General features: G+C 39.0%; 1 protein-coding gene across 4 annotated transcripts in view, besides 2 other annotated features; it reads right to left on the reverse strand.

Moving 5' to 3' along the window:
- Nucleotides 1-19,049, reverse strand: part of SHC4 (SHC adaptor protein 4) — a 140,179-nt gene that overhangs the window by 14,675 nt on the left and 106,455 nt on the right. For all 4 annotated transcript variants that reach the window (NM_203349.4, XM_005254375.4, XM_047432493.1 and 1 more), the window contains 3 exons: nt 17,538-17,709; nt 12,773-12,833; nt 4,994-5,173 (listed from right to left, as the gene is read on the reverse strand). In NM_203349.4, the coding sequence (NP_976224.3) occupies nt 4,994-5,173; nt 12,773-12,833; nt 17,538-17,709 (413 nt within the window). The remainder of the gene's footprint in view (nt 1-4,993; nt 5,174-12,772; nt 12,834-17,537; nt 17,710-19,049) is intronic.
- Nucleotides 5,412-5,579: a silencer, noted in NCBI's record as "fragment chr15:49136024-49136191 (GRCh37/hg19 assembly coordinates)". NCBI's record gives its function as "represses an EF-1alpha promoter that drives an FKBP-Casp9 reporter gene in an ReSE screen in K562 erythroleukemia cells {active_cell/tissue: K562}" and the evidence as "EXISTENCE:reporter gene assay evidence [ECO:0000049][PMID:32094911]".
- Nucleotides 17,137-17,431: a silencer, noted in NCBI's record as "tiled region #4235; HepG2 Repressive non-DNase unmatched - State 3:PromF". NCBI's record gives its function as "represses a minimal TATA promoter and a strong SV40 promoter by Sharpr-MPRA in HepG2 cells {active_cell/tissue: HepG2}" and the evidence as "EXISTENCE:reporter gene assay evidence [ECO:0000049][PMID:27701403]".

Below are 19,049 nucleotides of genomic sequence, written 5' to 3' on the forward strand. Positions count from 1 at the left end.
TATACTGTTTATTAGTATGGATTACTGGGTGTATGAAAACTCTAAAATAAAAATGTATTTGCATTGAAAGGAAAAATATGTTCATTTACACAAAGTACCTGAACATTTGGTAGAAAAAGATGTTAACATGAAATGTTAAGCATAAATGAGAGAGAGGTTCAGATAGTACCCAGAGAAAAATTATTTGCAATGTAAAGGAAGAATTAAATGTCTGTCAGACATGTTACAAAGGCATAGCAATTAGTATATAGTAATTAAGATGCTGGTTGAGAAAAGGCAAGTGCTCCAATAGAAAAAACATAATAAAGATCCCAGAAACAAATTCACATATATACTAAGAGCTTGATATAATAGAAAGTAGCATCAGGGAAAAGAGGAGACTACTCAATCAATAGTGTTTGGAAAATTGACAAACATGGATAAAATTAAGTTAGATCCCCAACCTCACATAATCTATAAAGGTCAAGGGGAATAAATATTTTATTATGAAAATAAAACTATGAAGCCAATATTTAAAAAATATAATAGATGTTGGATAAAAAAGAGAAAATTTAATCCAAAGCAAGTAGAAGGAAAACATAATAAAAATAAAATGGAAATCAGTGAAATTGAAAACAAAAAACAACAGAGAAAATTAAACCAAAACTTGGGCACATTGGAAAGATAAATAAAATTAATAAACCTAAAAGAGGACTGATCAAGTAAAAAGGAGAAAATTACCAATAACAGGAAAGAGAGAAGGGATACCACTATGGATGTTTTAGGCACTAAAAAGACAATAAAGGAATATTGTGGAAAACTCCACACGGAACTGCCTCTAAGCTAATAAAATGGAATCCTGCCAAGTTTTCAAGGAAACTACATCGCCAAAGAAATCACAATCCCTTCTAGTCCATGGCTTTTGGCCCCTGAAGCGAACTCTAATCTCTCATGACCACAGTGGGAAATAGCCTGTAAAAGTGGCGAAGCCCCCAAGAAAGGCACTTTCTCCAACATCTACTTTAAGTATGCACATGAAGAACAATGGTAGGAACAACCCAGATGGCATCATCTGGATCCACAGATGACAGTGGACACCAAAAGTCCTTTCCTAAAGCTGAACCAGGATCCAAGCAAATTGCTTTCTCCACTTCCAGCTCATGTAGTCTTCACAACTCTAGCCTGGCCAGATTTGGTCATCGTTGTGGACCAGTGACTGCTGTCCCACACTGTTGCATTCCTCCCTTTTGTGAATGTGAGTTTCTACTGCAATTACCTTATTACTTTTCCCCCGCTAATTTGGGGTATGGAGGGTGGCAGACAACTTGGCAGATAATAAGGATCTTCATCTAATCTTAGATGCTGTAATGGTATAAGTACTTGCAATGTCTTCCTTGGGGAGAAGGCAAATATGTTCTATGTGAAAAGAAAAGTTCACGAATATTTGTGGCAGAGACAGTCATCTACCAATATCTATCCTCCCTTTCATTACATTACAGAACTCCTAAATTTAGCTGGGCACCCAGCTAGAGTAATTTTTCTAGCCTTCCTTGCAGCTAGGTGTGGTCACATGTCTATGGTCTGCCAATCGCAGGTGAAAAGAAATGATGTCTGCCACTTCTGGGTCACATCCTTTAAAGAAATATATATGTGCTCCTCTTGCTTTTCTCCTTTCCCACTAGCTGAATGCAAATGTGATGATGAGGGCCCAAGCAGCCACTTTGGACCAGAGATGGAAACCAGATGTTGAGAATGACAAAGCTACCCTACCAATCCCGTGGCACTAATCTTTGAGCTTTTAGGTAAAAGAAATAAATGTCAGCCCTTTTTACACTACAGCATTTGGCGGGGTGGCGGGGGCAGTATTTGTTATGGCAACTGAGACAGAAACTAACAATAAATCAAAACAAAAATTAGTACCAGAACTCAGGGAATCTTTCTGCCATGTTTGGTGAGAATAAAGATTGTGTCAGAACTTTTTTCTGTTGGTAGTGTGACAAGATGAACTGAGGAGCCCTAAGAGCATACCTGAGAGACATTAGGTTAGTAACTCTGGATTTGTTTTTGTTTGGTTTGGTTATACTGAATTATCAAAAGCTTTTTTTTTCTGGCTAAGGGAGGCTAAGTATGCCTAAAGAAGCTAAAGAGGATTTTTGAGGCAGGAAGGAAGAAAATAGAAGGATCCATTATGGGGGAAGGTTAAAGGTGCAGTTAAGACATTTTATTAAAAAGTATGTATAAAGCTATCCCCACTCCATCTCTTTATTACTAGACAGGTGCTTTAACCAGCTAAGCCACGAAGCCTCACCCCATCTCTTTATCAAATGTTCTTAAATCAACATAATTTAAGGTTTTGGAGTTGGATTTATTTTGGAGGGAGCAATGTTGAATTTAACCTCAACAGGGCAGCAAGGAGCCCAAGAGCGCTATGGTACATTAAATCCTAATAGGAAATAAAGAGGGAGATCGTACCAAAGGCCTAAATTATTAAATATGTTGCCACCAAAGCAGGGAAAGGGAGAAAGGTGAGGAAAAAAGGCTAGAGTCAGAGAAAATACATTTTGACATTACAATTTTGGACAAGGCAGACTTTATTTACTTTCAATGAATGATAGAAATTTTGTTATGTATTAATTTTGCCATTTCATATTATTGAATTGCCTATGACAAAAGGCAAAGTTCCTTTGCTTGGATTATGAATAATTTTAACTTTGAAGACTAAATTATAAAGGAACTGGAGTTGTGAATCAAAGAATATTCCAGATCACCTAATTTGGGCCACCCACTAAATAAGTTCTCTGATAATATGTGTGGCTCTGAAAAGTCCGTGAAATGAAAGGTATCAAGAATATACTCTTATAAAATCTAAGGTCCAGAAAGGGTTTTTTTCCAAAAAGTTGTAACAAACATTACCTATCCACACAGGACATTTCCCATTGCACAGTTGAGTAAGCTTAACAGCAAAAATCTGAATTTGTTTCACATCTCATCACCCGTCACATAAGATGTCCTCTGTGGTAGCCACAGAGATGCACTGCCCAGATCTCCCTTCAAGGAAGCACCATTGCCCCAGGTGTCAGCAGTCAGCCTGCAGCTGACCAGCCCTTCTGGCTCTGCCTCAGCTGCCCAGGGTTTGACTTTCCTGGTGTGGCCCACATCCCAAGACTGAGATAAATGGGGCTATATACGCTCAGCCATTTGGGCCCAATGTAGGACAACTCCGACAGACCACATGGGCTTTTTGGTGTTGGCTGAGGCTTTGTCAGGCCTGTGTTGTAGTCCCATCTCCCACTCCAGCCAATCCTACTTCCTCTCCATTGCTTCCTGATATTGATCCTCTTACAGACCCTGCCTGCCAAGCTTCATCTTAGCATCTGCTTCCAGAGAATCCAGCTTGGTTGAATAGGGTGTCAGGAGTGATCTTAGAAAGTCAGCATAAAGAGGGATCACTTGTCACCTGGCTGACAATAAGGACCCCTGGTTCTTAATCTAGACAGTTAAGACGGTCTGCTGAGATCCAGGCTCAACAAAATCTTTTAAATTTTGTCTTGCATTGTAGCCACACTAACTGGAAAGCTGTCTTTGGCAGTTCTGGAGAAATCTCCTGGACTATTAAAAGGATTTTCTTAGTGACTGGCTCTCCATCATTGGAGCAAACCAAATTTGACACCATGCCAATCTCTGAACAAAACAACTTCAATATTTTATGAAAAGCATTTTTTGTTTATTTTTCAGTTGATTATAGGCTTTTGGCTTGTTTTATTTTTATTTATGTTCCTGTTTATGATAGTAATTTGGCAGGAAAGATGTTTGTCTTATTGTATTTTACCCACAGTACATGGGTGAAGAAAGGAGCCAACTTATTTTAGTGCTTTATAGATGACTTATTAAGGGGTTTTGAAATGAATAAAATTAATGCTATCCCTAACAGAAACAGTAGCCACTGTGACTCATGCAAATAAACAAATTCAAAATTATCTCCTGGCCTTGACAGCCCTACTTTCAGCAAAAGTACGTAGTAGAAATCAAAAGTTCGAAGTAAATTTAAAGTATTTGAAAGGATTATTCAAAATCAACATTTCTAAACCTTGAAACCTAAAACAACTCCACAAAGCTCTAATCGATATTAACTATGGTGAAGGATGGAGGTAAAGAAAGAAAACTCAATCCCTGAAAATCAGACCAAGAAAATAGCCTTCTTGAAATATGAGATAGTACAATTAGTTAAATAGTAGCCCTCAAAAAGATAAATTCAAGGCCGGGCATGGTGGTGCCTGTAATCCCAATGCTTTGAGAGGCCGAGGCAGGCAGATGGCATGGGCCCAGGAGTTTTGAGACCAGCCTGGGCAAACAAGATGACACCCTGTGTTTACAAAAAATACAAAAATTAGCTGGGCATGTTGTTGCGTGCCTGTAGTCCCAGCTGCTCAGGAGGCTGAGATGAGAGGATCGCTTGAGCCCAGGAGGCAGAGGTTGCAGTGACCCGTGATCATGCCACTGTACCCCAGCCTGGGTGACAGAATGAGACCCTGCTTCAGAAAAAAAAAGAAAAGAAGAAGATAAATTCAAGCCCTAATCCCTGACCTGTGAACATGACCTAATTTGGCAAAAGGGTCTTTACAGATGTAATTAAATTAAGGATCTTGAGATGAGATTAGTCTCATCTCATACAATCATTTCATCTCCTCCTAAATCCAGTGACTGTTGTCCTGTAAGAGGAAGGAGAGGGAGATCAAGAAATAGAGACACAGGGGCAGTCAATATGAAGACAGTTGCAGAGATTAGAGTGATGTGTCTACAAGCCAAGGGACATCAAGAATTGCCAGCAGCCACCAGAAGCTAGAAGAGAAGCATAAAATGGATTCTCTTCCAGAGGTCCTAGAAGGAACCAACCCTGCTGACACTTTGATTTTGGACTTCTGGCCTCCAGAACTGTGAAAGAATAAATTTCTGTTTGTGGTAATTTGTTAAAACAGCCCTAAGAAATGAATACAGACAGTGAGTAGCTACTTACTTCCGCAGTGCCATGGGCTCCCCAGTGGTTGGGCTGACCTTTGATTTCCAGCAGAGCCAGGTGTACTTTGAAGAGCCTGTGTATTAATGTAGCAGGGGTCATCAAAGAGATCCACTCGGCACGTGTGCTTCAATAATGAGGTATCTCGCTGGGACTGCACCCCTCTTGGATGGACATTACCTGTAGTGATTAGTAGTGATCAATACATTATGTTTTTTCTTTGTAAATAGTAAATAAAATCATGTTTGAGTCTAGAATTGATAGAAACCTAAAGGCCATGCCCCACCCTATACAATGATTGAACACTTAACTTTTAGGTTTGACTTGGAAAATCAAAATAAGCACCAGTCTCTGAGGGAAAGCCACCCTTTCACTGGGCTTCTTTCCCTTCTCGGGCCCAGCCCTCAGCTGACCAATTGCGTCAACAGCAGACAGAAGACAAGCAGGAAGATCCAAAGAGGACTGACCAGCCGTGGAAGAAAGAGGGCTGATAGTCTCAGCAAACAGCACAAACCTGCACTCAACACTGCTCAGAGGGGTTGCCCAGGAATCAGGAAAACACACATGTCATATTGAACTTGATTATCTATAATTAAACTTTTCAAAACTGATTAATTTTAAATCCTTATTCCCTGTGAACTAAATTAATTTATAAATAAAAAATGAATGAATGAATACAATAAAATTCTTAAGAGTAGGAAGTCTGGCTTCTCTCTATGCTCAAAGTTTGCTCTTGCCAACCTCAGCCTTGCACCAATTGCTGATGTTTAATTCTGTTATTCAATGAAAAGAACTCAAGCCTCAGGTTATCTCCTCCTCCTCTATTAATCTGTCCTCTCCCCTTCCATTCTATTCTACACATTGTAGCCCAAATAATCTTTTAAAAACTGCAAATCCGGTCATATTTCTCAGAGGTTTCACACCTCTTCAATTGCTTCCCATGCTCTTTAACAAGCTGTAGGCCTTGCTCTGTCTACCCAGCTACCCTTCTTCCTCTCTCCTCCCCAGCCTCTGTCTGGGGTCACACTGGCCTTCCTGCAGTATGATCTCACATCGAAAGGCTGTCTCCTCTAATTAACATGCTCTTCACTCCTTTTCTCCATCACTGTCATCCTTCAGATATTAACTTAAACATCTCTTTCTTTAGGAAGGCCTTCCCTGACCTTCCAGACCAGAATAGATCTCTGCTTTCCTAGCAGTTTGCACTTGACCTCTGATATGGTTTGGCTGTGTCCCCACCCAAATCTCACCTTGAATTGTAATAATCCTCATGTGTCAAGGGCAGGGCCAGGTGGAGATAACTGAATCATGGGGGCAGTTTTCCCTATACTGTTCTCCTTGTAGTGAATGAGTTTCAGATCTGATGGTTTTATAAATGGGAGTTCCGCTGCACAAGCTCTTTTGCATGCTGCCATGTAAGATGTGCCTTTGCTTCTCCTTTGCCTTCTGCCATGATTGTGAGGCCTCCCCAGCCATGTGGAAATGTGAGTCCATTAAACCTCTTTCCTTTACAAATTACCCAGTCTTGGGTATGTCTTTATTAGCAGCATGAGAACATATGAATACAACCTCCAAAGTCCATATCATGACAGTAATTCATTCTGTTATTTATGTTCTATTCTATTATTTAGTTAAACAGAATATGTGCTAGCCATATAGCTAGCCATATGTGCTCATGGTCATCATAAGGCTGCACCTGAACTAGTGACAGTCCAATGTAAGACAACATTAGTCCTTCTATTGCTTTAGTCATTAAACCTTTTCAGTGTGGTCCAAGGACCAACCACATACTGAATTTCACATCAGGGTGAATAATGCTATGACACTTGTAACTCATAGTATGGAAAGTAAGAATACATCAAGCAGGAGAAGCCCAGTCAGAAGTCTGCAGTCTTACCACCTGCTTCTCCTTTACTCCTTGTCTGTCAGCTGTTACATGTCATCTTGTCATGTGTCATACTCTGTATGTGGGGTATCCTAAAACACGAGTGAGGTTTCTACAGAGGGAGGAGTTGACAGGGTGCCTCATCTGTTTTGTACATTTTACCACCTATAAGATAGTTTCCATTTGCTTAGTTAAGTGGATTTATAAGTTATATTATCTAGTTTAAACTAAACTTGCTTTTACAAATGGAAAGTGGCTAAAAAATTACTGCAAAGAAATGAAGGATTAAGGATAATTCTTTTAGTACAAGCTCCTCCTTAGCTGCATTAGGAGCTTATAAACGAGAATGATCTAATCAGATCAGAGCTTTGGCCCCTCAAATGTTCAAATTATCAGGAATTAAGTGTAGATTTACATCTATTTTCTTTTTCAATAAATGCTCTAAATGCATACTAGACCTTGAGATATTATCTAATGATAGCATCCAGCTGTTGTAATTAGCAAGTCTTTGTAAAAAATGTTTATTTATCATCTACTCTAACTTTAAATTTTCCTATATTTGTGTTTTATGATACATGCATATTAATATATTAGCACATGTGTATACAACTTATACATTATTAAATAACCATTTATGTAGGAGTGCCTGCTCATAAAAATTTACTGAAAGTGAAATATAATCAAAAGTGCTTGAAAGTGGCTTAAGTCAGTTTTTTTTTTTTTAAGTTGACATCTCACCCTGTCACCCAGGCTTAAGAGCATTGATGCAAACACAGCTTACTGCAGCCTCGAACTCCTAGGTTAAAGTGATCCTCCTGCCTCAGCCTCCGGAGTCACTGGGATTACAGGTGTGAGCTACCGGGCCTGGCTAGAAGTCAGCTTTTAAATTCATATGGACCTGAGTTCAAATCCCTGGGGTATCTCTTACTATCTGAGCGGTCTGGGATGAGTTAATTAACCTCTCTAAGACTCAGTTTTCATATCTGTAAAATGTGGGTGCCTAGCTTAAAATACTGTTGTGAGGACTAAGTGAAATAATGTTGGTGAGACACTTGAGCATAGTGCCTGCCTTATAGCAGGTATTCGATAAATAGTTCCCACTGATGCTCAGTTATTATTTAGTCATTGATGCTGGGCCTCCATACAAGATGCTTATCTCTTACAGCAATATGCTCCCCCTCCTTTACTTTACTTAATTCTTATTTGTCCTTCAAGATTCTGCTCTGAAACCATCTTTTTCAGGAAGCCTTCCCCTGAATCCTTCCCTCCCTAAGGTTGGGAATGGTGCCACTTCATGATATACTGCAAGAATCTGTTTACTTCTGTCTTCCCCCTTGAGACTGCAAATTCCTCGTGTCCTTGAGGAAAGACTAGAACGCATCCAATTTGTGTATCTTCTGCATCTTCAGTGCTTGGGATGAAGCAGGTGCTCAAAAGAAAAATGTTTATCAGCTGATTGGACAAATATCTGCATGTCTATCCAATCTTCCTTTGTTGGCATATTTAACCCCACCACGTTTTGAAGACTCTGGATCAACCCACAGCACAGGGTGCTAACGCATCTGCCCCTCACAAAGCGTTAGCCTGAGCTAACCACATCAATTTTACCATCCCGTAGGATGACACCAAAAACATCGGTGTTTATATCTAGCCTCTCTTGAAAACTGCCACCTTTAAGCGCACAATAGAGTACTGAAAAAAAAAAGAAAGAAAGGAAACTGCCATCCCCTTTTTTTTTTTCATATGGGCCATTATATTTAAGTTGGTAATGTTGCCTTAAATTAAAAAAAAAGAAAAGCCCACCCCAGACTCAAATTTAAAATCATTCTAGGCTGAAGTGTTTGGTTGACGAGGGCTTAGACACAGATGCCAGCTAGTACGCCTTCCAAAAGTTCTTTGTATTACTCCAAGACCCTTTCCAGCTTTCCTAAGAGAAGATTTGTAGAGGAAAATAAATATATACACAGTATATACACTGTAAGTAACAACATTTTAAAGTGTAAGCCCTTAGGGTTTGTGGGAACTTAATGTCTTTTTGATTAAAAATATCAACATTTCAATTTAACTGGAAGGTCAGGGAAACATTATTCTATTTTGCTAATTATTGTTTTCCATGAGGGAATTTTTCCATAAGTATGAAGGATAAGGATCTTTTCTATGTCTAGTGATAAATACAATTAACTCTTTCAACAACCAGAGGCTACTGCAGTATTTATAATACACTGGAATTCAAGTTTGAAGTCAATATTTGAATAAATGGATGTCTTCGGAGGCTACTGAAAATATTTCTATAGGTATCTCTCAAATGCCTATATATGAATCTCTGGGAAAAGCCACAAAAACTACATATTTGCTATTCTGGCAACTGCTATTAAATTGCTCATTGGTCAAGAATTTCGGATTACTTTAAAAACATATGCCCAAGTAGGCCAGGCGTGGTGGGTCACGCCTGTAATCCCAGCACTTTGGGAGGCCAAGGCGGGCAGATCACCTAAGGTTGGGAGTTCGAGACCAACCTGACCAACATGGAGAAACCCCGTCTCTACTAAAAATACAAAATTAGCCAGGCATGGTGGCGCATGCCTGTAATCCCAGCTACTCAGGAGGCTGAGGCAGGAGAATCGCTTGAACCCGGGAGGCAGAGATTGCAGTGAGCCGAGATGGCGCCATTGCACTCCAGCCCGAGCAACAAGAGCAAAACTCCGTCTAAAAAAAAAAAAAAAACAAAAAAAACAAACAAAAAAAACATAAAAACATATGCCCAAGTAATCAAAGACAGGTCTCAAGATAGGATTACCTGATTTATAGGTGCCTAGGGATGAAAGGACACTAGTAGGAAACTCTCTCCTGCCACAGTAGGAGGGACCTTACTTGTCATGGCCACTGGGACATGGGTTGATTCCTTCCATCCCACCATGGTTTTAGTAGCTAAGGTTTGGAGAGATAGCCTCTGAGCATTCTGGTTCCTCACCGGAACTCAGAAATGGCTTTTTTATGGAAACAATGTTGTAATTCAGTGATTTACGGGGGAGCAAAGTATCTAGGTGGAGGACTTTTCTTAACTGCAAACACCATCTCACCTCCTCAAGATTCCGAAGTTCCCAGTTACAATCATTACCTTACAGCCACCATTAACAAAGGGAGTATCCAATAGAACTTTCTATTGTTTTATCTGTCATTACAAAATATACATTTAAGCTTCAATATAGGCAAACCAGAATAGTAGAATATAGTATACTTGTCTAAGAGTTAACCATCATGGCTAGGATTAATTCTATAAAAATATATCCCAGGCTCCAAACAAACTTTTATTAAAGTCTGTTAATGTATTTGAATCTTCTTATAGTGGCTTAGGGAAATATATATGTAAATAAGAATAAGGGATTATGTTGTTTGTTGGTTTAAAGAAGAAATAAAACTAAGATAATCTGCAAGACTACACTTACAAAAAGAAAAATCTTGAATTAACGTTAAAATACTTTCATATCCATTAATTCCTTCATAAATTTATGTTTTTGGAGATGGGTGTTTTAAGAATTTTTTTTTAATTAATCAAGTTGAGAACTCTTGGGGGAAAAAGAAGAAGGGAAACCATGTCCCCTTTTTCTAGTGGTAGTATTGTGATTTAGCCCATTCAACATAATTCTAGAAATGTCCATTTCTAGACTTTCACTCAGTGAGTTCCCTTCAGAAGCTGGGTTATTAAGGACAGGAGGGATGTGGCTATGCTGACTATTTAATGGAGAGGAGAGAAACAAACTGGGAAGGGAGGTATTTGGGCAGGACTGAACATTTTGAAGATCCTTAGGATGCTGTTGTAGGTTCGACACTCATCTTTCTCTCTTTACTTCTGAGCTCTCTCTGTCCCAGTGATCTGGGAACTGGTCCTGGCATGCTTAGTTCTGGTGCCCATTTATTTTCTCTCTCTTCTTTCCCCTGCTCTCTCTCCCTCTCTCCCTATGTCCCTTTCCTACTTCCTTCCTACCTCCCTCTCTGTGCCTGGATAATTCCCACTCATCCTTCAGGCCTTGGTTTGATTGTCACTTCCTTAGGGAGAGCCTCTACAGCCTCCCCAATTAAGTTAGGTTTCCCCATTATTTGTTCCTATAACATCTTGGGCTTTGAAACACTCTTCATATTTGTAGGCATTTGTTTAAGGTGTGTCTTCCTGGCTAAACTGCAAACTACAAGAGTGCCAGTTGTGCCTCTAGCTCTAGCACCCAGCACAGTGCCTGACCCATGGGAAGTCTTCAGTAAGTAGTCATTAAATAAAGTGTTGAATAAATGAAGAATACATGAATGAGATAAAATAGGACATGGAGGTATTTCCAAGTGAGCTTCAGTACAGGGGAGAACATGGTTGCAATACCACAAGGCATGCGTGGTACGTTCCTGACTATTAAATCCTTAGGTTAAGAACCTCCAGGATGACGGAAAGGAGAGAGGAAGGAAATATGGCTGTCAGAGAGCATAACTTTTAAGAGATTCATACTTGCCATTAATTTAATTTGTTTAGTAATATTATTAAAGATTGGTTTGGAATTTTAAATAACTTTAAAGAATGGCATGGAATTTTAATTTCTATCATAAGAAGGCATATTTTTACAGAACTTAAAATACTGCCTTAGGCCCAGCATGGTGGCTCACGCCTGTGATCCCAGCACTTTGGGAGGCCAAGGCAGGTGGATCACTTGAGGTCAGGAGTTTGAAGTCAGCCTGACCAACATGGCGAAACCCCGTTTCTACTAAAACTACAAACATTAGCTGGGCATGGTGGCGGGTGCCTGTAATCTCAGCTACTCAGGAGGCTGAGGCAGGAGAATCGCTTGAACCCGGAAGGCTGAGGTTGCAGTGAGCCGAGGTTGCGCCATTGCACTCCAGCCTGAGCAACAGAGTGAGCCTTTGTCTGAAATAAAAATAAATAAATATAAATAAATAAATAAACTAAACTAAACTAAAATAAAATGTTGCCTTAGGTTCACTACTCCGTTTACAAGATAGAGGAAGGTGGTAATCATACCTATACCAGAAAGAATAAATCTTCATGTATCCTTCACTATATAAAAAATAATAAAATTAATATATTACATTGGTGTAATTCCATAAGAAATAAAAAAGTATCCTTGGAAGTGACTACCTTGTAGATGGCAAGTTCCTGCTAATTTGAGTCCTTAAATATGGTTATCCATCTGTATTCTCCACTGCATTATTTATACAGTTCAGTCATCTCCCCCTCTAAAACTGCAAAACTTTCCTTCCTGAAGAAATAAATATGCTCAACAACTAATGGGAATTAAAATGACTAACTCACAATATAACATGTTTTAATTAAAATATATTTCCAATCTGATAGTCAAGGTTGTGGAAAAGTTTTGTCCAACATCAATGATCACATGCAGTAATAAAACATTTACTACTCTGGCAAGTATGGGGTGGACAAGCTCCTAAATGAGATTCTCACATTTCAGACATCCTTTCGTTCCCTTTGCCAAGCCAGAATAAAGATTTTATCTTAATCCTAATGGATCTGACAGGCATCAATTTTCACATTAGCTTACTCCTGATCTTCTTTGAAGTGGAACTCCCTTGGGTTTCGAGCAGAGAAAGCACCTTTCCAGAGAGAGAGCTTTCATGATTTCAAGGCAGTAAAAGACTCCATAAAGCAAAACCATCATCATGGCAGATCACACAAGAGCAAGGGAGAACCATGAGCCTTCCTAGTGACACATATGCAACATTCTGGGCCTATCTGAGAAGCCTACAGTCAAAGGATTATGTGTTTAGTGGTAGATACCTGACTTTTCAATGAAGTATTTAAGAGCAAGGGCCACATATGTCCATAGGACTTACAAGGAATAAGGAGGGTGGCAGATGGAGAAGGGCATTGTACCTACCTATTGCCCTGCTTTGTTCTAAACAGTTCTCATATACACTGCTGCACTTGGAGTTTCCAGGCTGCATGAACAACAAATTATGAAACATTTACAAACATAGTACACATTCATAAACTTAAAAGAAAAAATTTATAATAATCCCAGAAGAATATAGCAGACTTCACTTTCTGACACAGGAAATGTTTGACAGGTAAGAAAAGAAAATGGATATTTGGGGTGAACAGAGAACACTCTTCATAGTTCATCGCCTTGGAGCTGCAGAGTTGGTTCTGATTCGGCTGGGGGGTTCTAAAGGCTACCAGTGTCCTGTGTCCTGAGGGTTACTGCTTCTGCTTGAGAAGTCACATGCCAGAACTCAATCCAAGTCTCAGCCAGAAAGTGATTTTCAGGACACTGCTATAAACATTGGCCATGTAGCCAACCTCTGTCTAATTTTGAATTGGTAGATTGGATTTCTACTCTACTCAGGTTTATGCCAGGCTCACGTCTCACCCTTGAAAATCTTATCCAAAGAACTTCGATCATCCCTGTACATACAACTCTCGTCAGCAATATACTGTGGGGGAGGGATCCACTTGATGCCTTTGAGATGAACAGTGTCTTTAGAAAGATTAGTTTGGCAGCACTGTGCAGGAGGGTTTGAGGGAATGAGATTGGAGTCAGGAAATGGTCTTTCAGAATCATCTAGGCAAGTGAGGACCAGGACTTCGAAAGAGGCAGTAGAAACGGGAAAGTTTGGATAGACTCAAAACATATTTTCATGGTAGAATCCTAGGTCTTGAAGACTGAACTGATATGGGGCCCAAAGTGTGAGAAAAACAGAAGATTGTAGATTAATGAAAGACTGTCAGTGCCATCAATAAACCTGAGTAAATCAGTAGAGGAATCAAGTTTGGAGTCAGGGAGAAAATGCTGAGTTCAACCTTGATATAGATAAGCAATGTAGTGCAATGTGGCATTACAGCTAGAGAGATACATAAGAGCCAAAGACAGAGAAGGTAGAGGAAGTGTGTACACAAGTGGCCTGCCAGAAGCAAGATAAAGGCCAAGGGTAGAGCCTAGGAGAGTGCTAATGTGGTGGTAGGGCAGGGCTTGTGTTTTTATTGGAGGAGATGAAATAAATGATAACATAAAAAGAAAAGGTAAGACTTACTTTGAAACATATCAAAAATAAGATGGATCAATGTATGATAATCAGCTACATATGTAATAAAGCAAATATAATAAAATGTTAATTGTAGAATTGAGATGGTATGTGAGTGTTCATTGTATAATTCTTTCAAATAGTCTATATGTTTAAAAATACTCATAATAAAATGTTGGAAAATGTGAGAAAATGAAAGGAAAGCAGCAACTAGAGATGCAGAAAGAGAATGAAAAGGTGGAAATGTTTTGGAAGCTTACAGAAGAGGTCTCAAAAAATAAGAGGTAGGGCCAGGCGTGACGGCTCACGCTTGTAATCTCAGCAATTTTGGAGGCCAAGGTGGGCAGATCACCTGAGGTCAGGAGTTTGAGACCAGCCTCGCCAACATGGGGAAACCCTGTCTCTACTAAAAATACAAACATTAGCTGGGCATGGTGGCATGCACCTGTAATCCCAGCTACTTGGAAGCCTGAGGCAGGAGAATCGCTTGAACCTGGGAGGCGGAGGTTGCAGTGAGCCGAGATCACGCCACTGCACTTCAGCTTGGGTGACAGAGTGAGACTCTGTCTCAAAAAAATATATAAAAATAAATAAATAAATAAATAAATAAATAAAATAAAAATAAAAAATAAAAAAATTTAGAGGTGGAAGTCTTAGAGCAATCAGGCAAGAGAAAGAGATTAAAAAACATACAAATAGGAAAGGAATAAGCATTTTTCTTCACTGGCTGTAATAATTCTATACCTAGAAAACACTAGACTCTGCCAAAAGGCTCCTGGAACTGATAAACTTCAATAAAGTTTCGGGACACAAAAGCAATGTACAAAAATCTAGCATTTCTATAAACCAGTAACATTCAAATTGAGAGCCAAATCAAGAACACAATTTCACTTACAATAGCCACCAAAATATAATAAAATAAAATACCTAGGAATACATCTAACTAAGGAGGTTAAAAGTCTCTACAAGGAGAACAAGAAAACACTGCTGAAAGAAATCACAGATGACACAAATGAAAAAGCATTCCATGCTTATGGATTGGAAGAATCAATATCATAAAAATGGCCATACTAGCCAAAGCAATCTACAGATCCAGTGCTATTCCAATAAAACACCAACATCATTTTCCCCAGAATTAGAAAAAAATACCCAAAAACAGTTGGTTCATATGGAACCAAAACATGAGCCCAAATAGCCAAAGCAATCCTAAGTAAAAAGAACAAAGCCAGAGGCATCACATTATCTGACTTCAAGCTACACTATAAGGCTACAGTAACCAAAACAGCATGGTACTGGCACAAAATCACAAACATAGACTAATGGAACAGAATAGAGAACCCAGAAATAAAGCTGCACACCTGCAGCCATTTGATCTTTGACAAAGTCAACAAAAATAAGCAATAGGGAAAATACTCCCTATTCAATAAATGGTGCTGGGATAGCTGGCTAGGCATATGCAAAAGAATGAAACTGGGCCCTTACTTTTCACCATATACAAGATAGATTAAATATATAAACGTTAAGACCTCAAATTGTAAGAATCCTAGAAGAAAACCTAGGAAATCTATTCTGGACATCAGCCTTCGGAAAGAATTTGTGACTACATCCTCAAAAGCAATTGCAAGAAAAATAAAAATGGACAAATGGGACCTAAATAAAGAGCTTCTAAGCACAGCAAAAGAAACTATCAACAGAGTAAACAGACAATCTACAGAATGGGAGAAAATATTCACAATCACTACGCATCCAAAAAGGTCTAATATGTAGAATCTATAAGAAACTTAATTCAACAAGCAAAAAACAACCCCATTAAAAAGTGGGCAAATTTCATGAACAGACATTTCTCAAAAGAACACATACAAGCAGCCAACAAACATATGAAAAGATGCTCAACATCACTAATCATCAGAGAAGTGCAAATCAAAACCACAATCACATATCACATATCATATCAGAATGACTATCATTAAAAAGGCAAAAATACAGATGCTGGCAAGGCTGCAGAGAAAGGGGAATGCTCATACACTGTTGGTAGGAATGTAAACTAGTCCAGTCACTGTGAAAAGCAGTTTGGAGAGTTCTCAAAGAACTTAAAACAGCACTCAAACATTTGACCCAGCAATCCCAACTACTGGGTATACACCCAAAGGAAAATGAATTGTTCTATCAAAAAGACACATGCATTTCTATGTTCATCGCAGCACTATTCACAATAGCAAAGACATGGAATCAATCTAGATGCCCATCAATGGTGGATTGGATAAAGAGAATGTGGTACATATACACCATGGAATACTATGCAGCCACAAAAAAGAATAAAATCATGTCCTTTGCAACAACATGGATGCTGCTGGAGGCCATTATCCTAAGTGAATTGACACAGGAACAGAAAACCAAATACCACATGTTCTCACTTATAAGTAGGAGCTAAATATTGGGTACTCATAGACGTAAAGATGGCAACAATTGACACTGGCGACCACTAAAAGGAGGAGGGAAAGAGGGGGGCAAAGGCTGAAAGCTATCTGTTACTATGCTCACTACCTGGCTGATGGGATCATTTGTATCTCAAACCTCAGCATCATGCGATATGTTGATGTAACAAACCTGCACACATACTCCCTCAATCTAAAATAAAAATTGAATTTAGTACACATGTACACAAAGAAGTGAACAATAGACACACTGGGGCCTATGTGAGAGTGAAGGGTGGGAGGAGGGTGAGGATTTAAAAACTAGCTACCAGGTGCTATGCTGATTACCTGGGTGACAAAATTATCTGTATGCCAAACCCCCATGATAAACAATTTACCCTTGTTAACAAACCTACACATGTACCCCTTGAGCCTAAAATAAAAGGTGGAAAGAAAAAAACTAAAACAAAAATAAAATAAAATAAAAGTTGAAATTATAAAAATAACAACAACAAAAAAGAAGAGGGGTCAAACATTATAAAGAGATACAGAATACTGAAGAAGGAAATAGATTTAGCAATTAAACCACTGGTGACCATTGTAAAAGTAACTTCCATCAGATTGTCAAGCAGAGTTCAGATCTTCCAGTATAGTGCACATGTTAACACAAAGACAGGGACAATGCTTTCTAGAAGTTTGTGGGTGAAAGGAAGATGACAAGGAGGTGGAACATTATTAGGTTGGGTTGAGGGAGTCCAAGTTTTTTGCAGGCAGAAGGAACCAATAGAGAAAGAGTGAAGATTGAGACAGAAGTTACTGGACAGAACTAGGACACAGAGTTGGCAGGAGAGGTTTGGATGAGAAGCACAGGGAAAAGATTAGCTTTGGAGATAGTTGCTAAGGAAGAGAAGCAAGGAGAACATGGGCAGACTTAGAGCTGTGGAGGGGTGAAGCTGAGGATAACATGTTGGATCGCCTCAGTCTTCCCAGTGAAGTGAGATATGAGATCATCTGCTGAGGCTACAATTGGGGGATTAGGAGTAAAAATGATCTAGTGTAGCCTCTGACAGTTATTCATTCTCTGGCTCTGTATTTGAGGAAGACAGGACTTTCTCTAAACTAGCATTTGGAAATCCTCAAAGTAAATGCTCTAGTGATAAGGGCAGAATTGCATTGCTGGTTCCAACAACAATAAAACATTACATACCAAATAGCACAACTTTTCACACTGTATGGGGCAGTAAGCCATTTGTTCCGTGGCTTGAACTTTGATCCGCATATCTGAAACACCACCTACTGGTGGCTGCTTCCCTGGAATTTCATTGTAATATTCATGATCTTCTCTCTCCTCGGCATGGCTATCAATATGCACCTCCTCACTGTGAAGGAAAAAAGAATCCTCAAGAGGCTGGGCGAAAATTCAAATACTGTAAGGGATGCAAGGGGATCAGAACCAAGCAAATCATCCTGAAAAACTTTGCATTCATGTTTTCAGTTTATAGCTGTGCTTAAGTGATGTTAAACATTTGGATGGGAGCAGTCAGATGGTTGAGTTGTTTAGCTTTCTGTAGACAAAACGGGGTAAGCCAATAGAAAGTGCCAAGGGTGATGCTTTTGTGTCTCCTCCAGTGATAAAAATAATGATAATAACAATATATGAACTTCCTAAATGTAAGATATTTTTGTCATAAGATCATAAAAATACAAAGTATTCTTGAGTATCTCCAGCACACTTTGATTGTTCCATTTTGGAAAGTTTTGCCCAGATAAAATTTAAATATTGTTCTTCGGGTATAGGGCCTGTCCCAGTTTATTAAACCAAAATGAAAAAAAAAATAAGAGAGCTATGGCCAGCTATCTTGTCTGCACAGATCTGGAGGAGTACATGGGATTAACACAGAAATATTAGAACCATATGTGGCAAGTGGGTAGATTTATATAAACATGGAATTGTTTTTAAAATTGAAACAGGGCAAGACAAACAAACAGACTTTTCTTCCAAATTGGAATCAGGGAAAGTTTCTTACTAAAAAAAAAAAAAAAAACAAGAATAAATCAAGTCTATTTGGATTGAACTGATTCAACTGACAACTCACACAGTTTTGTTAGGTTCATTACATGTCAATAAAATGATAGCACTAAGACAGAAGTGCTATCCTGGGAAAAATTCAGCATCAAGGCCTCCTGGTAACACCCTCTCCTTTGCTACCCTAGACTACCTCATAAAAGGAGATCTCCAAACCTAGTATTTGTTGATACACAAAGTGACATACCAGAGGAAAATGCATTTTAAAGTACCCAAGAGTTTTGTTTCTCCGGCATGAATTGTGTGAGCCAGAGGCATCACTGCATTCCACACTTGGTGAGGTCTGACAGGCCTGAAAGGGTTCAGCTTTCATTGCAGACTTTCTGTGCCTTAGAACAACCAAATCCTTGGGTCCCACCGTGTTCCACTCTAACCACAGTTTAGCTGAAGCCTATCTATTTACATTGCAAACCAACTGACAGGAATTCCTACAAGAGACATTTGATTCTTATTTTGCTCTTTGTTCTTGCTGTGTTTTTTTTTTTAACTGATATGTAAAGGATCTGGGGTTGAAACAAATCTGAGAAGTTTATTGATGTTTATTATTTTGATTTCAATTAATTAATTCAAAGCTCTTTATAGTGCTAGAATAACAGAGATAATCTATTCTTACTTTTAGTGAGAAGGGATCTC

This window comes from Homo sapiens, chromosome 15 (assembly GCF_000001405.40).
Source record: "Homo sapiens chromosome 15, GRCh38.p14 Primary Assembly".
In the NCBI taxonomy this organism is placed as follows: domain Eukaryota; kingdom Metazoa; phylum Chordata; class Mammalia; order Primates; family Hominidae; genus Homo; species Homo sapiens.